The sequence below is a fragment of the Homo sapiens genome, chromosome 8, assembly GCF_000001405.40.
Source record: "Homo sapiens chromosome 8, GRCh38.p14 Primary Assembly".
Taxonomy (NCBI): Eukaryota; Metazoa; Chordata; class Mammalia; order Primates; family Hominidae; genus Homo; species Homo sapiens.
The window spans coordinates 37,367,951-37,383,911 of record NC_000008.11 but is presented as its reverse complement, the minus strand read 5'-3'; positions in this window follow the sequence as shown (position 1 = coordinate 37,383,911).

Sequence of the window (15,961 nt, the reverse complement as noted above, 5' to 3'; positions counted from 1 at the left end):
CAGAGCATGTATGCATAAAGGAGATGGTAGATTGGGTTACTGGGAAAGGAAATGTACAAATGTACCTTTGCAAGAGGATTGACTGATGGTAGCGGCAAGTTGCTGATGAAGGCAGTTTGTGTAAGAGCAGGCCCTAGCTGCCGGGCTCATCTGTCTCTGTTGTCACTTTCTCCCTGGCTGCCTGTGCAGCAGGCAAGCTGCCCTGGGCTCCTTGTGGCTCCCTCCCTTCCCTTCCTCCTTCCTCCATGCAAATCCAGGCTCACTGAGCCTCAGAGGCAGAGCTTCCCAGGCTAGGGGAGTTAGGAGAGGCGCTGATAAGGTCTGTTGTTTTTGCTTGTCTTCTATTTGCTGAATGGCCTGGCCTAGACATTACCTCTCCAATGTGCCTTTGGAGCCACGGAGAGTGAGAGCCTTCCTGGAGCAAGTGGAAGCAAAAGTGGGAGGTACCCTTCTTGACCACCACTCATCTTTGGTAAACATCTCAATCAACGGGTGCAAAAATAGAAGCAGTAAGATCTAGTGATCAGCCACACAATAGGGAGACTATAGTTAACAATAATTTACTGTATATTTCAAAATAACTCAAAGAGTAGATTTGGAATGTACCCAATACAAAGAAATGATCAATATTTGAGGTGATGGATATCCCAATTACCAAGACTGGATCATTACACATTGTATACTCACATCCAAGTATCACATGTACCCCATATATATGTACAACTATTATGTATCCATAAAAATAAAAAAAAAAACCCACAAGAGCTCCTCCCTGGAAACCATGGTGTGCCCATGCCTCTGGGTGCTGGCAGGTGCAGGAGGCAGTGTGTGAAGACTCACGTGGCCTTCAGGCCTTTTCAGCTTCCAGTTCTCTGATCTAGACACAGCATTAACGATATACGTGTTACTGGTATATACAGTGACAAGGGTTGGTGTCTAAAAAGCCATTCTTTACTAGTCTTGAATTCTCCCCTCCAGTGTTTGACTCAATTTTGTGGCTTTGCTCCTCTTTGATTCCCTTTACACACACACACACACACACACACACACACACGCATAGACACAGACACACAGAAACACATGCATTCACGTACACACATAGACACACATGCACTCATATACACATACACAGACACACACACACACACGCACTCAGGTACACACTAAATAAAGTCTCATTGTACACCCCCACTCTATCTCCCTTCCTTTGTTTTTCAGTTTTTAATTTAATTTGTTTTTTAGAGACAGGGTCTCTCTCTGTCACCTAGGCTGGAGTAGAATGATGTGATCATAGCTCACAGCAAACTTGACCTCTGGAGCTCAAGCCATCATCCCACCTAAGCTCACTGAATAGCTAGGACTACAGGTGTACACCACCAAGCCTGGCTAAGTTTTATATTTTTTGTAGAGAGGGTCTCACTCTGTTGTCCCGGCTGGTCTCCAACTCCCGGCTTCAAGAGATCTCCCTCCTTGGCCTCCCAAAGTGCTGGGATTATAGGCATGAGCCACCATACCTGGCCCTTCTCTTCCTTTAAAAGCAACAACAACTACTAACCTTTCCAAATCCACTCCAAGATAAAGTATATGAGTCCACCTCTTATACCACACTGTGTGCAATTGTAAATACTAGTAAAATGGACAAATATATGATGAAGTTGTGGTGATTATAGTGAGGGAATTGCCTTTATCTTCTTACCTGTGAAGTGAGTCCTTCTGACACCTAAGAAGTGCATAGGTACTTGATGTAAGATTGAGTGCTATGGCTGTCACGGTTCTTGGGAGCAGCTCAAGTCATTAAGGTGGACGTAACTTTTCTGATGATCAGCATTACTTACTAAATAAGTGGATTTATTTCTTACAGGAGAGTCACTTTCTTTATTAACCCAAGTTCAATAGCCTTACAGAGAGATCCCTTTCTTTTGTTGTGTATTTAGGGCAGGACCTTCTTAAAAGCTAACCCAAGTCTACTATTTTTAGTTGTATTGGGGAGGAGGTATCCTTTGTGTCTTGGTATTTCCTGATCTCCGCAGTAAGAGTTCTACAGCAGTGTGGGCACTGTGCTGGTGAGTGAACACTTCAATGAGCACAGTGGCTGGGAAGTCCGGGGAGGCACTAAGCTGATGGAGAGAGGGAGGTGAATGGATCCACGTTGATTGACACTTTAGAAAGTTCCTGCTTTCTGAGAATAATGCTGCTTTCCGTCAACAGCTATATACTATATACTATGGACTATATACTATATGCTGAATACTAATATAGCTGTATGCTATATCCTAATGACCTTTCTTCACTTTTACAGATAGAATAATTGAGGCCTGTTCAGTGGCAGCCCAGGGTCCCATGGCCCTATGCCTGGCAGCAACGAGGACCACACCAGGAGTCTTGGCTTCTAGTCTATGCTCTTGCCCTGGGACTCAGCAGCCTGTGGTCTGAACTTCTGAGAGGCCGCTTTGCAAGTGATGTTGAAAGTACTTCATCAGGGCCATACTTGCTGTCACCTCAGTCCTCTTCTACATTTCTTCTGTTTTAATTTGAGCTTGAGCAAATAAAACAGTGGTTGCTGTTCTACAACCTATAAGACTTCCTATTTGTTGCACACACCCCAGGAAGCGCATGCGTGCACTGAAGCTGGGGTGTGCGCATACACACACACACACACACACACACGCATGCACAGACACGTGCACACACACACATACACAGAAGTTTTCATATTAGTTTCCTGAGTTCATGGATAAAGTCCAGAGCTGCCAAAGCTCCCACTCCTTTGCCATGTCACACTAATAGCTTCCAGATCCCATCACATATTAAATTCATGCGGTTTCAGCGAAGCCATCTATTTAATGCAATTCGCTAAATGCCTGCGCAGCCCCGCTGACAGTGACATATTAGTTTTGCAGTCTTTTGCAATCTGATATCTCTGAATTTGCCACCGTACTAAAGATTTGATTAATGTGGTTCCATTTGGATGCAGTAATTGGCTGCGACTGTTGTAGAAAATAATCAGGCTTTCATTCCTTACAAGTGCACGGACATGCTAATGAGAGAGTGGGTTAATTAAGCCCGCGGCAGAAAGCGACAGTTACTGATGACTGTTATGACAAACCACCGACTCGGCATTTGGGAGCAGGACAGCAAATTTGCACTTTATGAAATTACAGGAAAACTAGGACATAAGGAATAAATAGTTACATCTGTTTGGTGAAAGGTGGAAAAAGGGTGGGGAGAAAAAAAGAGGGGCTCAAGAGGAAGAGAAAAGAACAAGTGAGAGACGGTCTCCCCAAGAACAGGGCGGGGGTCCTGAGCTGCAGGAGGCCCATGGAGAGGCTTCCTGGTCCTCAGGGGCTGCTTCTGCTTGTGCTCCAGTGTCACGGTGCTGGTGGAACGTGACACACCCAGTCCAGCACCTGCATTATGGACTTTTTGCAGAAAGACCAGACAGCAGCTCCGTTGCCTAGAAACAGAAAGAGATTTGAGGAAAGAGAGGGAGATATAGGTAAAGGCCGGGGAGAGCGTGGACTTACTTGGGGACCTTTCACTTATGGCCTCTCAGAAGGAGCACGAGTGGGGAGCTGGGGAGATTACATACTGTTTCTTCATTTTAGAGGAGCTAGTCTATAAATATCTAGGATGAATCGGATGCCTGGGTTTATTTGTTTTGTTTTGTTTTGAGATAAGATTTCACTCTGTCACCCAGGCTGGAGTGCAGTGGCATGATCCTAGCTTGCTGCAGCCTTAAGCTCCTGGGTTCAAGTAGTCCTCCTGCCCCAGCCTCCTGAGTAGCTGGGACTACAGGCATGCACCACCGCTCCTGGCTAATTTTATTTTTGTAGAGACAAGGTTTTGCTTTGTTGCCCAGGCTGGTCTTGAACTCTTGGGCTCAAGGGATCTTCCTCCCTCGGACTCCTGAGTCTGAGCCTCTGGGATTATAGGCATGTGGCCAGCATGCCCAGCCCGGGGTCTATTTTATCACCCTTTCATCTCACTTGCTCTCCCCAAATGGATTCCTGCTTCTTAGATCCAAATCCAGGCTCCCTTCCTTGGGCTGGGCGGGGCTTCTCTCAGCTCTGCTGGCTCCCTAGAATCCCTGTGTTCTCCTGTGTGACTCAGACTCTGTTATTCCTTTCTTTGCCTCTCTAAGTCATTTAGATCTCAAATGACCAAAATTTCTGTTCGTCTTCTGGGGTTCTGCTTTATACATGAGCTCACAAACTTCATCTCTCCCCAGCCTGCTGAGTATTGAGGGGGAAACAAACATGAATATAACTTGGTCCCTGCCCTTCTGGAGTTTATAGACTAGTCGAGGAGAAAAGCCACACAGACAAGTCACTAATGGTCTAGGTGTCACCAGAGAAGAATAAATGAACCCACGGAGTTCAGAAGGAAGGTGATCACTTCCTTCTGGGCATGTGGGAAGCTCTGCAGACAAGGAGCTGTGAACATGGGCAAGGTAGGAAGGGGGTGGAGGCAGAGCATACTGCAGAGTGAAATGATAGCGATATGAGTGTGACATGGCTGTGTGGGTGGGTTTAGGGAGAGACACGACGCTGAGCTATAGGGGTCACCTGGGGATAAGTGGAGAAAACTCTTCCATGTTTCCTAAGGAGCTCGTGTTTATCCTGTAGGCAATGGGGCATCATTGAGTATATTTTGAGCCTTGCATGTCACCATCAGACCTGTGCTTACAGGAAATCCTTTGGAAGCAGGGATGTGGTGGAAGGCATAGGGTGGAGAGGTGTGGGAGTAAACTGGAAACCAGAGATCAGGCAGGAGGGAGGCCAGTCCAGGCCTTCAGGGGAAGGGAGCTGGTCAGGAGCAGGGGCTGCGAGGATGAACGGGAGCGTGGTCTACTTGGGGCGGCGCTGTACCCTACTCCAGGTGGCCATAAGCCTCTTAGAGCAAATGCCCTTTAGGCCCTCCTTGAGCTCAGCAGTGGGGAAGGGGTCTCCTGGAGGAAATTTCTGAGCAGAACCCACTGTGATCAGTGTTGAACTATCTTTTCATGGACCACGTCTTCAGTTTTCAGGCACACAAGAAAAATTTGCATCAGTGATGGTGAATATTAGGTGGCAACTTGATTGGACTGAGAGATGCCTGGATGGCTGGTGAAGGACTGTTTTTGGGTATGTCTGTGAGGGTGCTGGCAGAGGAGATTACATCTGGGTCGGTGGACTGGGAGAGGAGGGCCCACTCTCAGTGTGGGTGGGCACCATCCAGTCAGTCGCTAGCGTGGCAGGAACAAGGCAGGTGGAAGCAGATGGGATAAGCTGGCTTGCTGGGTCTTCTGGCTCTCTTTCTTCTCCCTGGGCTGGATGCTTCCTCCCCTCCTGCCCTTGGACATCAGACTCCAGGTTCTTTGGCCTTTGGACTCTGGGACTTGCACCAGCGGCTCTTGGGCCTTCAGCCATAGACTAAAGGCTGCACTGTTGGCTTCCCTGGTTTTGAAGCTTTAGGACTTGGACTGAGACACTATCAGCTTTTCTCTTTCCCCAGCTTGCAGATGGCCTATCATGGGACTTCGCCTTGTAATCGTGTGAGTCAATTCTCCCTAATAAACTCCCTTCCACATATATATAGATTCTGTCTGTCTGGAGAACCCTGACTAATACAACATCCAAGATATAAGAAGTGCTGTCTGCTTCTGTGTTTAGGGAATGATATGGCACAAGGCTCACTGACATGGCAAACTTGTGAAATGCAGTTCAGTTCTCCAAAACCCGGTTTACGTACAATGGTTCCAGGAAATCCATCACTGCACCATGGCAGGGAGAGTCAGTTACATGTTGATGAGCTATTCTCCAGGTGGCCATTGGCTCTTCTACCTACTCCATCCCATGAGAAAATAGAGACAATTTACACATATAAAGTAGAGTATTCAACACAGGTAGCTGCAGGGAAAGAAGGGAATTCACCTTATCGAGGCCTAGTCTGGCCTGCACAGTACAAACATTATTTGTTGTAATTCTCACTTTACCTATGAGGACACTAAGGCTCTGAGACATAAAATAAAAGCCCAAGTTCGCTGAGCCAGTAAGTGATGGGGCTGGGTTTAAGAACAGGATCTATCTGATGCAAATACTAGGCTCCTTCTCTTGATCCTCAAGAATTATTTTTATGACATAGGAACTTACTAAACAATCAATTTCTTGATACTCAGGTGGAGCATGTTTGTATCCTCAGGCTCTGATGTGATCCTGCCCTGCCCTGGGCCCTCTTCTTATGCCCCCCGCAGCACAGGTAGAGGCCATCCGAAGTGATGATGAACAGCATGAAGCCCAGGAGTTTTGCAAGGTGCCATGTTCTAGGTGCTTAATGCTGTCATGTCAAAGCGGTTCCACTGCCCCAGCCACATGATACTTACGAACAGGTTTCACATTGCTCTTTGCTGTCTTGGCTAGAAGGAGATTGGAAAGTAGAGGCCCAGAGAAGTAGCCTTTGGCTAACAAGGTGGGGCATGTCATTGGGTGAGGCTTGTCATTTTTGTGTTTCCTGTGACTGAGCCACCCTCTGGGAAAGAACCCCAGAGAAAGAAGAAAAAGTACAGCAAATCAGTCCGTAAGTAGATCAGGTACCTACAGAAATTGAGAAGGGCCGTTCTGCAATCATTGGGAAGAATCATCGCTCATTTGCCAGATTAGTGGGAGCCTCCCAAACCCGCCGGTTGCCATCTGGGGGATGTCTGCAGCCCGAGCACCCTGGCCTGCCTGGGAGTCCCTGATTTAGACCGGAGAATTTTATGGTCTGAAAATGGCCTTAAAATTTGTTTGGAATTACCCAGAGCACATTTTAAACACTGAAATTGCCATCTCCATATTTTTTAGTATTTGCAATTTACCTGGGTACAATTCCTTTCCTGTCTTCCTCAGCACTTCCCTCACTCCTCGGGCTTTCCTCCTGCTCTTTGGAAGGGCTCCAGGCTCCAGCCTTTCTCCAGCTTGCACCAAGAGGCCAGCAAACGTTTCACCCCAATGTCCAGAGTGTTCTCTCTCCTCCATTGTTCTGCCCTCTGTACCGGGTTGAATAGCGATCTTCTGAAAATCTGTGTCCATTCAGAATCTCAGAATATGACATTGCTGGGAAATAGGATCTTTGGTGATGTAATTAGTTGTAATGTGCCATGTTCTAGGTGCCTAACACTGGCGTGTCAAAGGGGTTCCGCTGCCCCAGCCACATGATATTTACAAACAGGCCAGCAAGCATTTGAAGTCATACAGGATCAGGGTGGTCCCTGAATCTAATCACTGGTATTCATATAAGAAGAGGAGAGGACTCACAGACACGTGGGGAGGACGGCCGTGGGAAAACGGAGGCAGAGATGGAGTGAGGTGGCCACCAGCCAAGGACACCAAGGCTTGTTGGAAGCCTTGGCAGAGAGAAGAGGCGAGGACGGATTCTCCCTGGAGCCTTCAGAGAAAACAAGTCCTGCCAACAACTTGATTCCAGTCTTCTAGCCCCTAGAACTGGGAGAGAATAAATTTCTGTTGTTTTCAGCCACCCAGTTTGTAATAATTTGTTGTGGCCACCCCAGGAAGTTAATCCTTGTGTTCAGATCACATAGGCTCTGCCAACCTCCACTAAGAGGCCCAGCACACACTTCAGAGAAGAAACCCAGGAAGGCCTCCATTATCTCACTTTTGAGGCATGAGCTTAGGGGTTTGTTGGGTTGGAGATCCATCCATTTCCAACCAGAAGCTCATTTCCTCCCTTATTCTGTTGTTCAATTCCTATCTCCAAGTTTCTACCCTTCAGTGAGCCTGTAAGATCTGACACCCTGGAGACAGCATCAAGATCAGAGCTGTATTGCTTCTATTAACTTAATGCATACTAAGTGGCAGGCTTTTTTGTAATTGACATTAATCATCTATTCTTACACAAAATAGTTACTCTACCAATGCTTGGTGTCTGACCTGCACTTTAGGCCCTACCTCCATGTGTGCTGGAAACAGGAGGAGACTGGTTGTGTTTTTAACCAGTTCTAGCTCTTCTTCCTGACTGATAACACTCTAGAAAGCTCTACAGGAACACTATGGGGCCTTCCAAATGCAATAGGACCCTGACTCCATTTGCCACCATGCAACTCGCCTCCCCTGGCCCCGTCCCCCCTTTTAACTGTGGAAGGCTCTGTGGGCTGTCAGAGGGGTTCTGCACATTTTATACCTGACAGGACCTCTCCCAGAAACCCCTGAGGGAGACACCATTAAAGTGTTTTATGTTGGGGAATAGGTTGGTTTCTGAGCAATAAAAAAACAACGCCATTGAAGAAGCAAGCTCCTGGGTAATTACGGAGACCAAGGAGATGGCTTCCATATGCTGGGTGGGTGCTTACAGGCCGGAGCCTGCATCTGTTCCCTTTGTTCTGTCAGAGAACAGAGCTAGGAGGGGGTCTGACCTCCCGATAAACCCTGAACCAGAACCCTCTGCCGAGCTTCAGGGAGGAGAGGGGGCCTGGGGGTGGTGGAGGGAGGTCAGAGGGCAGCAACATCTGGCAGAGGGAAGGATGGGTGGGAGGTGGGCATAGGGAGAAAGGGATGGGGGCTGGGCTGCCCCCTCCCTAATCAATAAACCCAGCTACCAGAGGAGATCAGAGAACCATTCATTAACGAGCTCGTTAAGTGATTGATAGGCTTAATTTTCCTGTCAAATGTGGACTTCCCTTGTAAACATGTCAATTGAGGAAAGTTCAAGCTTGTCACTTGGATTTATGGCTGGAATAACATGTAGGTGGGAAAGAGGGGCAGGTCCCCTGTGACCCAGGCTGGCGGCTCTGAAATGTGAAGGCCAGTGTATCCAGGTGCCTGAGAGGCCCTCCTCTTTTCTTCCCACAGCTGAGACAACAATCACAGCCTGGAATTCTCACTCTCTCATCCTCAAAGGAATGAAGACGTGGCAATCCCACGCCCCTGCCAGCCCCTCCCACCCCACGAGGCTCTCTCTGAAGTTATTCATCCTTCCACCTGCAAATCCGGGAGGGATCCCGGTGTTGGAAGGACCTAGCCAAGCCGTGGCTCTTGGCAAACAGATCTGTTCCTTTCTAGTTGTCCTGGAAGACCAGGAGTCAATGAAAACAGGAGCTGAAAGCACCACTATCATGTGACATGAACAAGTCATCAGCTCCTCAGTGATCTGGAAAATGGCTGGTGGCATTGGGGAACAGGTTACAGCAGAGGTGGGCACGAGAGGAGCGACTCACTCAGCACAAGTTGTGGGGTGGGCGGTGGAGGGCAGCTGCGGGCTGCAGCCTAATGGGTGGTCCTGTGGGGGGCCCATTTCTAACAGGCTTTGTTGAATGCTCCATGTTAAATTAGCCAAGCGCAGCCATGCTCCTCAGATGCGTAAGAGATGCAGGCATGATACAAGTGAGCCCTGGATAACTGAGTTCAAAATCCACTGGAATCCATCAGTGCTATTATTACAAAGTACTGGCTTTAGGAGAGAGGCTTTCTAGCACCCTGCCTGTCTGCTTTAAGCAGCACAGAAATGCTGCCTGAACTTGGAGATGGCCTGCCCTCTTCAGTATTAAAATACACTTGGCCTTGTATCGTGCACTTTCCTCTCTGGCATGATTGTGGACCCTCTGAGAGCAGGGGCCTCTGGCTTTGGGCTTTGTGCTTCATGCAGTACTTAGGGGAGGGCCTGAGGAGCTGCTTTCTGGCTGGGTGCTGAGAGCCTGGGCTGTGCTGGAGAGTGCACCCCTCCCAGGTTGGACCTTGTCAGGTCATCCAGGAGCTTCATCGTGCGGAACCTCGGTGTAAGGAGTTAGGGTGGAGAGTGGCCTTAGGGGGCGGATGATTTCTAAATGAAACCTCTGTGGAATTCTTGTCCTAGCAGCACTTACCAAAGTGGGGTGTGTGTGTGTGTGTGTGTGTGTGTGTGTGTGTGTGTATGTAGAAGGATGCTTCGCCGGGTTCTTGCAAAACCCAGGCCCCCTATAATTTATTATTTATACCATAATACATCATGATCGCACTGGAAATGTGCTACACTTCAAAGTACAACTCTGCAGTGACATCAAACCTTTCAGACAAAATCCCAAGGCAGGGAAGAAGGAGGAACATCCAGTAATGCTGCTCATGGAATCCCCCTGCTCAGTGGTGTCTCCTATTTGTTTCTTTTTCTAGAGCTGAAAAGTCTGTTATTGATATAGGCTTGCTTACATGTCAATATTCTTGAAGTGGGACCACAGCAGTCATGATAATAACAATGGACAACAGTGACAAAGTGGTATGGTTTGGCTTTGTGTCCCCACCCAAATCTCATCTCAAATTGTAATCCCCACATGTTGAGGGAGGAAGGTGATTGGATCATGGGGTTTCCCCCGCATTATACTCACGGTAGTGAGTGAGTTCTCACGAGACCTGTTTTTTTTTTTGGTAGATGGAGTCTTGCTCCATTGCCAGACTGGAGTGCAGTGGCGCGAACTCGACTTACTGCAACCTCTGCCTCCCAGGTTCAAGCGATTCTCCTGCCTCAGCCTCCCAAGTAGCGGGGACTACTGACACCCACTACCACACCCAGCTAATTTTTGTATTTTTAGTAGAGACAGGGTTTCACCATGTTGGCCAGGATGGTCTCAATCTCTTGACCTCGTGATCTGCCTGCCTCAGCCTCCCATAGTGCTGGGATTACAGGCGACCTGATGGTTTTATAAGGCAGTTTTCCCTGCTCTTGCTTGCTCTCTCTCCTGCCGCCTTGTGCCTGCTTCCCCTTCCACCATGATTGTAAGTTTCTAGAGGCCTCCACAGCCATGTGGAACTGTAAGTCAGTTAAACCTCCTTTGTTTATAAATTACCCAGCCTCAGACAGTATGGACTAATACACAAAGCAATCTTTTTTTTTTTTTTTTAATAGAGGCAGGATCTTGCTCTGTCACCCAAGCTGGAGTGCAGTGGCATGATCATAGCTCACTGCAGGCTTGAACTCCTGGGCTCAAGCGATCCTTCCACCTCAGCCTCCTGAGCAACTGGGACTACAGGTGCCCACCACCACACCCAGCTAATTTTTAATTTTTTTGTAGAGTTGGGATCTCTCTCTGTTGTTCAGGCTCATCTTGAATGCCTGTCCTCAAGTGATCCTCTTTCCTTGGTCTTCCACAGTGCTGGGATTACAGACATGAGCTTAAGCACTTACTATGTGCCAAGCAATCTGAGAAGTGCTCCACAAGCTTCTCTTCTAATTCCACATCAAACTGTACTTCTGCTCAAGGCCACACAGGTGGTTGGGGATGGTGCCTGGCTTGTCTAAGGGCTGCTGTGCTCCACAGGCCGGAGGTGTCCACTATTCCGCTGTGTTATTTTGGAGCCATCTATGTTAATTTTATGAAGTTGCAGCATGATTGTTGTATTGACCAGAAACGTGTACATTCGTTTTCGTGGCAGGATCTCTGAGCACCTAGTGGCAGCAATTTTCTGAAATACTTTAGGTTTAGACCCACAGGACATTTTTCTTCTTTATCTAAATGCTGATGTATAATAGGGAGCTATATTATTACTATAATGTTCTCTTGAATTGAGCCTCTGGAAAGGCGCCAAGACCAAGTTTGGACTCAAGCAAAAGCCCCACTGGGAAGAGTTACATGGGGGGTGTGGGGGCTGGGAGGCTCTTCAGTCACAGAGGCTCCTCTTGGCAGGAGACTGGACCCTCACTTTCCTTTAATGCACTCAAGACCGTTGAACCCCGGGCCAGATGCCCTCCCTCTATATGCTATTGCATTCCAGCCCATAATTGTGAATTATTATTAAAGTAATATATACTATTTACTGAGCACCTACTAAGTGCCAGGGATAGCCCAAGCTACTTTGCTTGGGCTCTTTATTCACTACTACCACACTGTCTTTATGGAGTAGGAACTATTGCTGTTTCTGTTTACAGATAAGGAAACTGAGGCTTAGAGAAAGTAAGCTTTCCCAAGATTAGGATGTAAAAGTCTTCTCAACCCTAGAGCCTGTGCTTGTTTTACCAGACTCAACTGCCTACTATTCTCAAGCACTCAGCTCCTCAAATCTCAAATCTCACATCCCTAACCGCCCATCTCCCCTCATCTAAACCTCTGCAGCAATACATTTCTTTCTCTTTTCTTTCTTTTTTTTTATTCTCTTTTCTTCTTTCTGACAAGGTCTTGCTCTGTCACCCAGACTGGAATGCAATGGCATGATAACAGCTCACTGCAGCCTCCACCTCTGCCTCCCGGGCTCAAGTGATCCTCCCACCTCAGCTTCCCAAGTAGCTGGGACTACAGGTGTGCACCACCATGCCCAGCTAATTTTTGTATTTTTTGCAGAGATGAGGTTTCACCATGTTGCCCAGGCTGGTCTCAAACTCTCGGACTCAAGCAATCCTTCTGCCTCAGTCTCCCAGAGTGCTGGGAGCAATACAGTTCTAAAAGTCACAGCCAGTACTAAACATGGCCCCCCGGCTGCTAGCCCTATGGTGAAGTGTCTTCTTGTTTTGTGATATGGTATCCCTGGTCAGAACGGACAAAAGATCCTTTGAACTGTGATAGGAGGGGAGGGGCTCTTGCCTGTGCTTTGCCTGTGTGTCTGTAGAGTGTTTGTGGCAGGCTTTTCTTAGGGAATTGAGGGATTCCTTCTATCCCAAGTGGTCTAGCCAAGAGGAAGCAGATACGCCTCATTAACAGGTCCTCTCAACCTTTGAGAAGTACAGGGAAGCAGCCTGAGGCTTCCAGACTCTGCAGCTGCTAGGACTGCGCTGCACCTCCCTGGAGCAACTGACACTGCTTCTCAGTGCCTGCTAATGCCTGGATGCAGCTCTCATTCTTGGTACCAGATTCCCCTCCCCCATGACTTTTCCAGAAACCCTCAAGATCTTTCACTTTTAAGAAATAAACAAGAAAGTGGGCCCTGTATTTAGTAAAATATATCTTTCAGCCTGTTCAGCCAGCTAGGTCCTTGATCCCAGGCGTTTTCATCGTAAGGAAGACTTTGATCAACTGCCGCATTTCAAAGAGACAGGGAAGTTCTTTAGCTTGCATGAAGCACAATCCCTGTCTGTACTGGAAAGTCCCGGGCTGCACAGTGCTGGCACCAGCCCTTGGGAACCAGCAAGTGAGATGAATTAGAAGCCTAGAGCAAAATATTTGGTTTCATGCAATTTAGTTTCTTATTACTACTTGCTTAAAATTCTGTGGAACAATTAAATCTTAAAAGTGTCTTGTGAATGCCTTGGGATCTCTTTTCCTTCAGGTTTATTGATTGTATTTGATATCACTCACAACTGCAATTTTTTTTTTTAACATTTAATAAGACCATTTGGTTGGAACCCAGAAAAAGTGCACAAAACGAGAGAGCACCTCAACTATGGCAAGAGGCCCAAGCCAGTGGAAAGCCTCACATTTATCCACCAAAAACCTTCTCCTTGTGGTTGACTTTGAATTCAGGGCATTCGCTGGACCCAGTGGAGAAACAGTTCTGAAGGAATGCTTGGCGATCCTGTCCTTGAGTAATATAGAGAATCATTGGGAGTAAAGCAGAGAAGATCCCAAACAAAAGGCGTTTGAGAACCCTTTAAGGAAACAGATGAACAAAAACAAATGGATATAGGATCCTCTCCCTCCCTCTACTCAAACAGAGGTTCTGAGAGCTGATTTACAAATAAACATTGGCAGCATGCTCTGAATTTGACTTGCAACTTTCAGTACCAGGTAATCACACTGAGTGTCTTAACTCCAGGCGTTTCAGGAGTAAAGGAGTCATCGAAGGTAGAAAAACACTATAAGCAAGTGTTTATTTCATTTTTCTGACCACCTCTTGGCAAGCGCTTCACTCATTCTTCTTCCCAAGAGTTGGCTTCTAGATGCCTGAACTGAAGAGGGCCTGAATAAATTCACGGTACGGCTGATGAAGCCAGGTCTGCTGCCTGAACTTCTTTTTTGTTTAAAAAAAAATCCAGGTTAAAAGGCATTTTAGAATAATAAAGTATAAGAGCTGCCTTCTGTCTATCCTGGAAGATGGGCTACCATCCCACTCCATTTCAGCATGGAGGTGTCGTAAGAAGCTTAAAACACATAACCCCTGCAAAGATGGAAATGAATATTTTTCGGCAAAAGAGGAAATAGAGGGGGTGAGGAGGAGGTGGAGGAAGAAACACCGATTACGCTGCTTTGATGGCCTTCTATTTTCAAGCCCTGGGAAAGAAGGATTGGAGCTGCCGCACTCAATATAGAGCAGCGATCTGTGGTTGAGGGAATGCAGCACATCTGCCTTTTATAGGTTTGGAATGAAAAATGTTTTTAATTAGGGAGTGGAATTGGGGCTTTTAGTCTTGCTACATGCTATGTACCTGTCAAACCTGCTGGATGGGAATTTAGTTCTGACCTCTCACCCCTACCTACTTTAACCAAAGGATTCCTGGGAGAAACAGAGGAGCCCTGAGCCCCTGAGAAAATCTGAATTGCTGCTTCTGGGGTTCCAGATTCATCATATGGAATGATGCAGAAAACTCTTCCACCTTTGTAATGTGACTCCAATGGCTTGACTTGGGGCAGGAAGGAAGGATGGGTCAGAACACTGTTGACTGTTCTGATACTGTGAGCCAGGAGGGCTTAGGGACCCAACGAAGCTAGAAAAACAAAGAAGAAATAGAATGATGATAAAAACTTAGAGATAAAGATAAAAAGTAAAACAAGATGGAAAGGTAATGCTCCATTGAAAGAGTCCCACTTAAAACCAAAGAACATCCCTTTACCATTTCCCCTTGCCCTCCAAAGAAAGTCCACTGTCAAGGGAAGGAAAATCATTCTGTTCAGGTGACAGCTCTTTGTCTGAGATACCAACAGGCAGTGAGGCTCAATAGCATCTTTATGGGATTTCAGGAGCCAGAAAAAGAAAGCAGCTACAGTAAGAAATTGCTATTCTCTCCTGATCGTAAGCTACAGGGTCACTTGAGCTTAGTGTCTGGGCTTTTCCCCAATTTTTTCTTTTTTTTTTTTTTTTTTTTCCCAAATGCCTCTCAGCTATAAGGTGCTCCCCTAAGAGATGTAACTCCTTCTTCAAATATTGGAAAAAGGCTCCTGGGAGTGAAGTCAAGAGCTAGTAATCTGCTTGGATAGTTTGAGGCAAGCTTCAAAGCAGGAGACTGGCCTAATGAGATCTCTGTGCTTCTTCAGGCCCTGACGTTCTATGTTTGCATTCTCTTTGACCCTCCTTCCATGTCTGCTTTATAAAATTCAGTTTGAATACTTGAATTCTTTTCTAGGCCCTCAGTATTAATGCCCACCTGTTAATATGTTACTAACACTTTTAAAAAAGTTTTCTGATATGACATTAAACGTACACATGCTGAAATTAACCCCCCTCCCAATTTTCTAGTTAAATTTCTAAGTCATCAAAGCTGAACTATCCTTCCTCCCTCTCATTCTTCCTCTCTCTCCCTCCTCCATGTTTCTGCTTTGTGGGTTCCTTAAACAAGTGGTTAGCCCACACATTGGTAAGCTAGCTCTAGTTGTAGTTCAAATGTTACCTCCTGGGTGGTGTTCCCTTTTGCTAGGCAGGAATAATGGCTCCTCGGCTGTGCTTGCGCAGTCTAGGAAGCGCCTCCCTTTGCCTCCTCCCCTTCTCTTCCATCCTCCATTCACAGTCTAGGGGATGTAGCACTTACTACCTTGTATTCCTGTTAGCTCTTTGGCCCTTGTCTTTTGGTTGCTTCAGGGCAGGGATGCTATTCTTCTTTGCATCTCCATGTTCGTGGCACGTTGAAAATGCTCAAAAAATGTTGAGAGCAACTGAGTTCAGAGCAGAGGAATGAAAAGAATCAGAGGGAACCCATGGTAGACTATTGGAGCCTTGGTGGAGAAAAGTGCATCTTGCTGATGGGCTGAAGACCTATTCTGGATATTCTGCCCTTGTTGAAGGCAAGGATGGTAGTGACGGATCAACTGTATTAGCCCCTCACAGAAATTGTTTCTATGTATCATATCACGGATACACACATGTAGATATACTCTCAT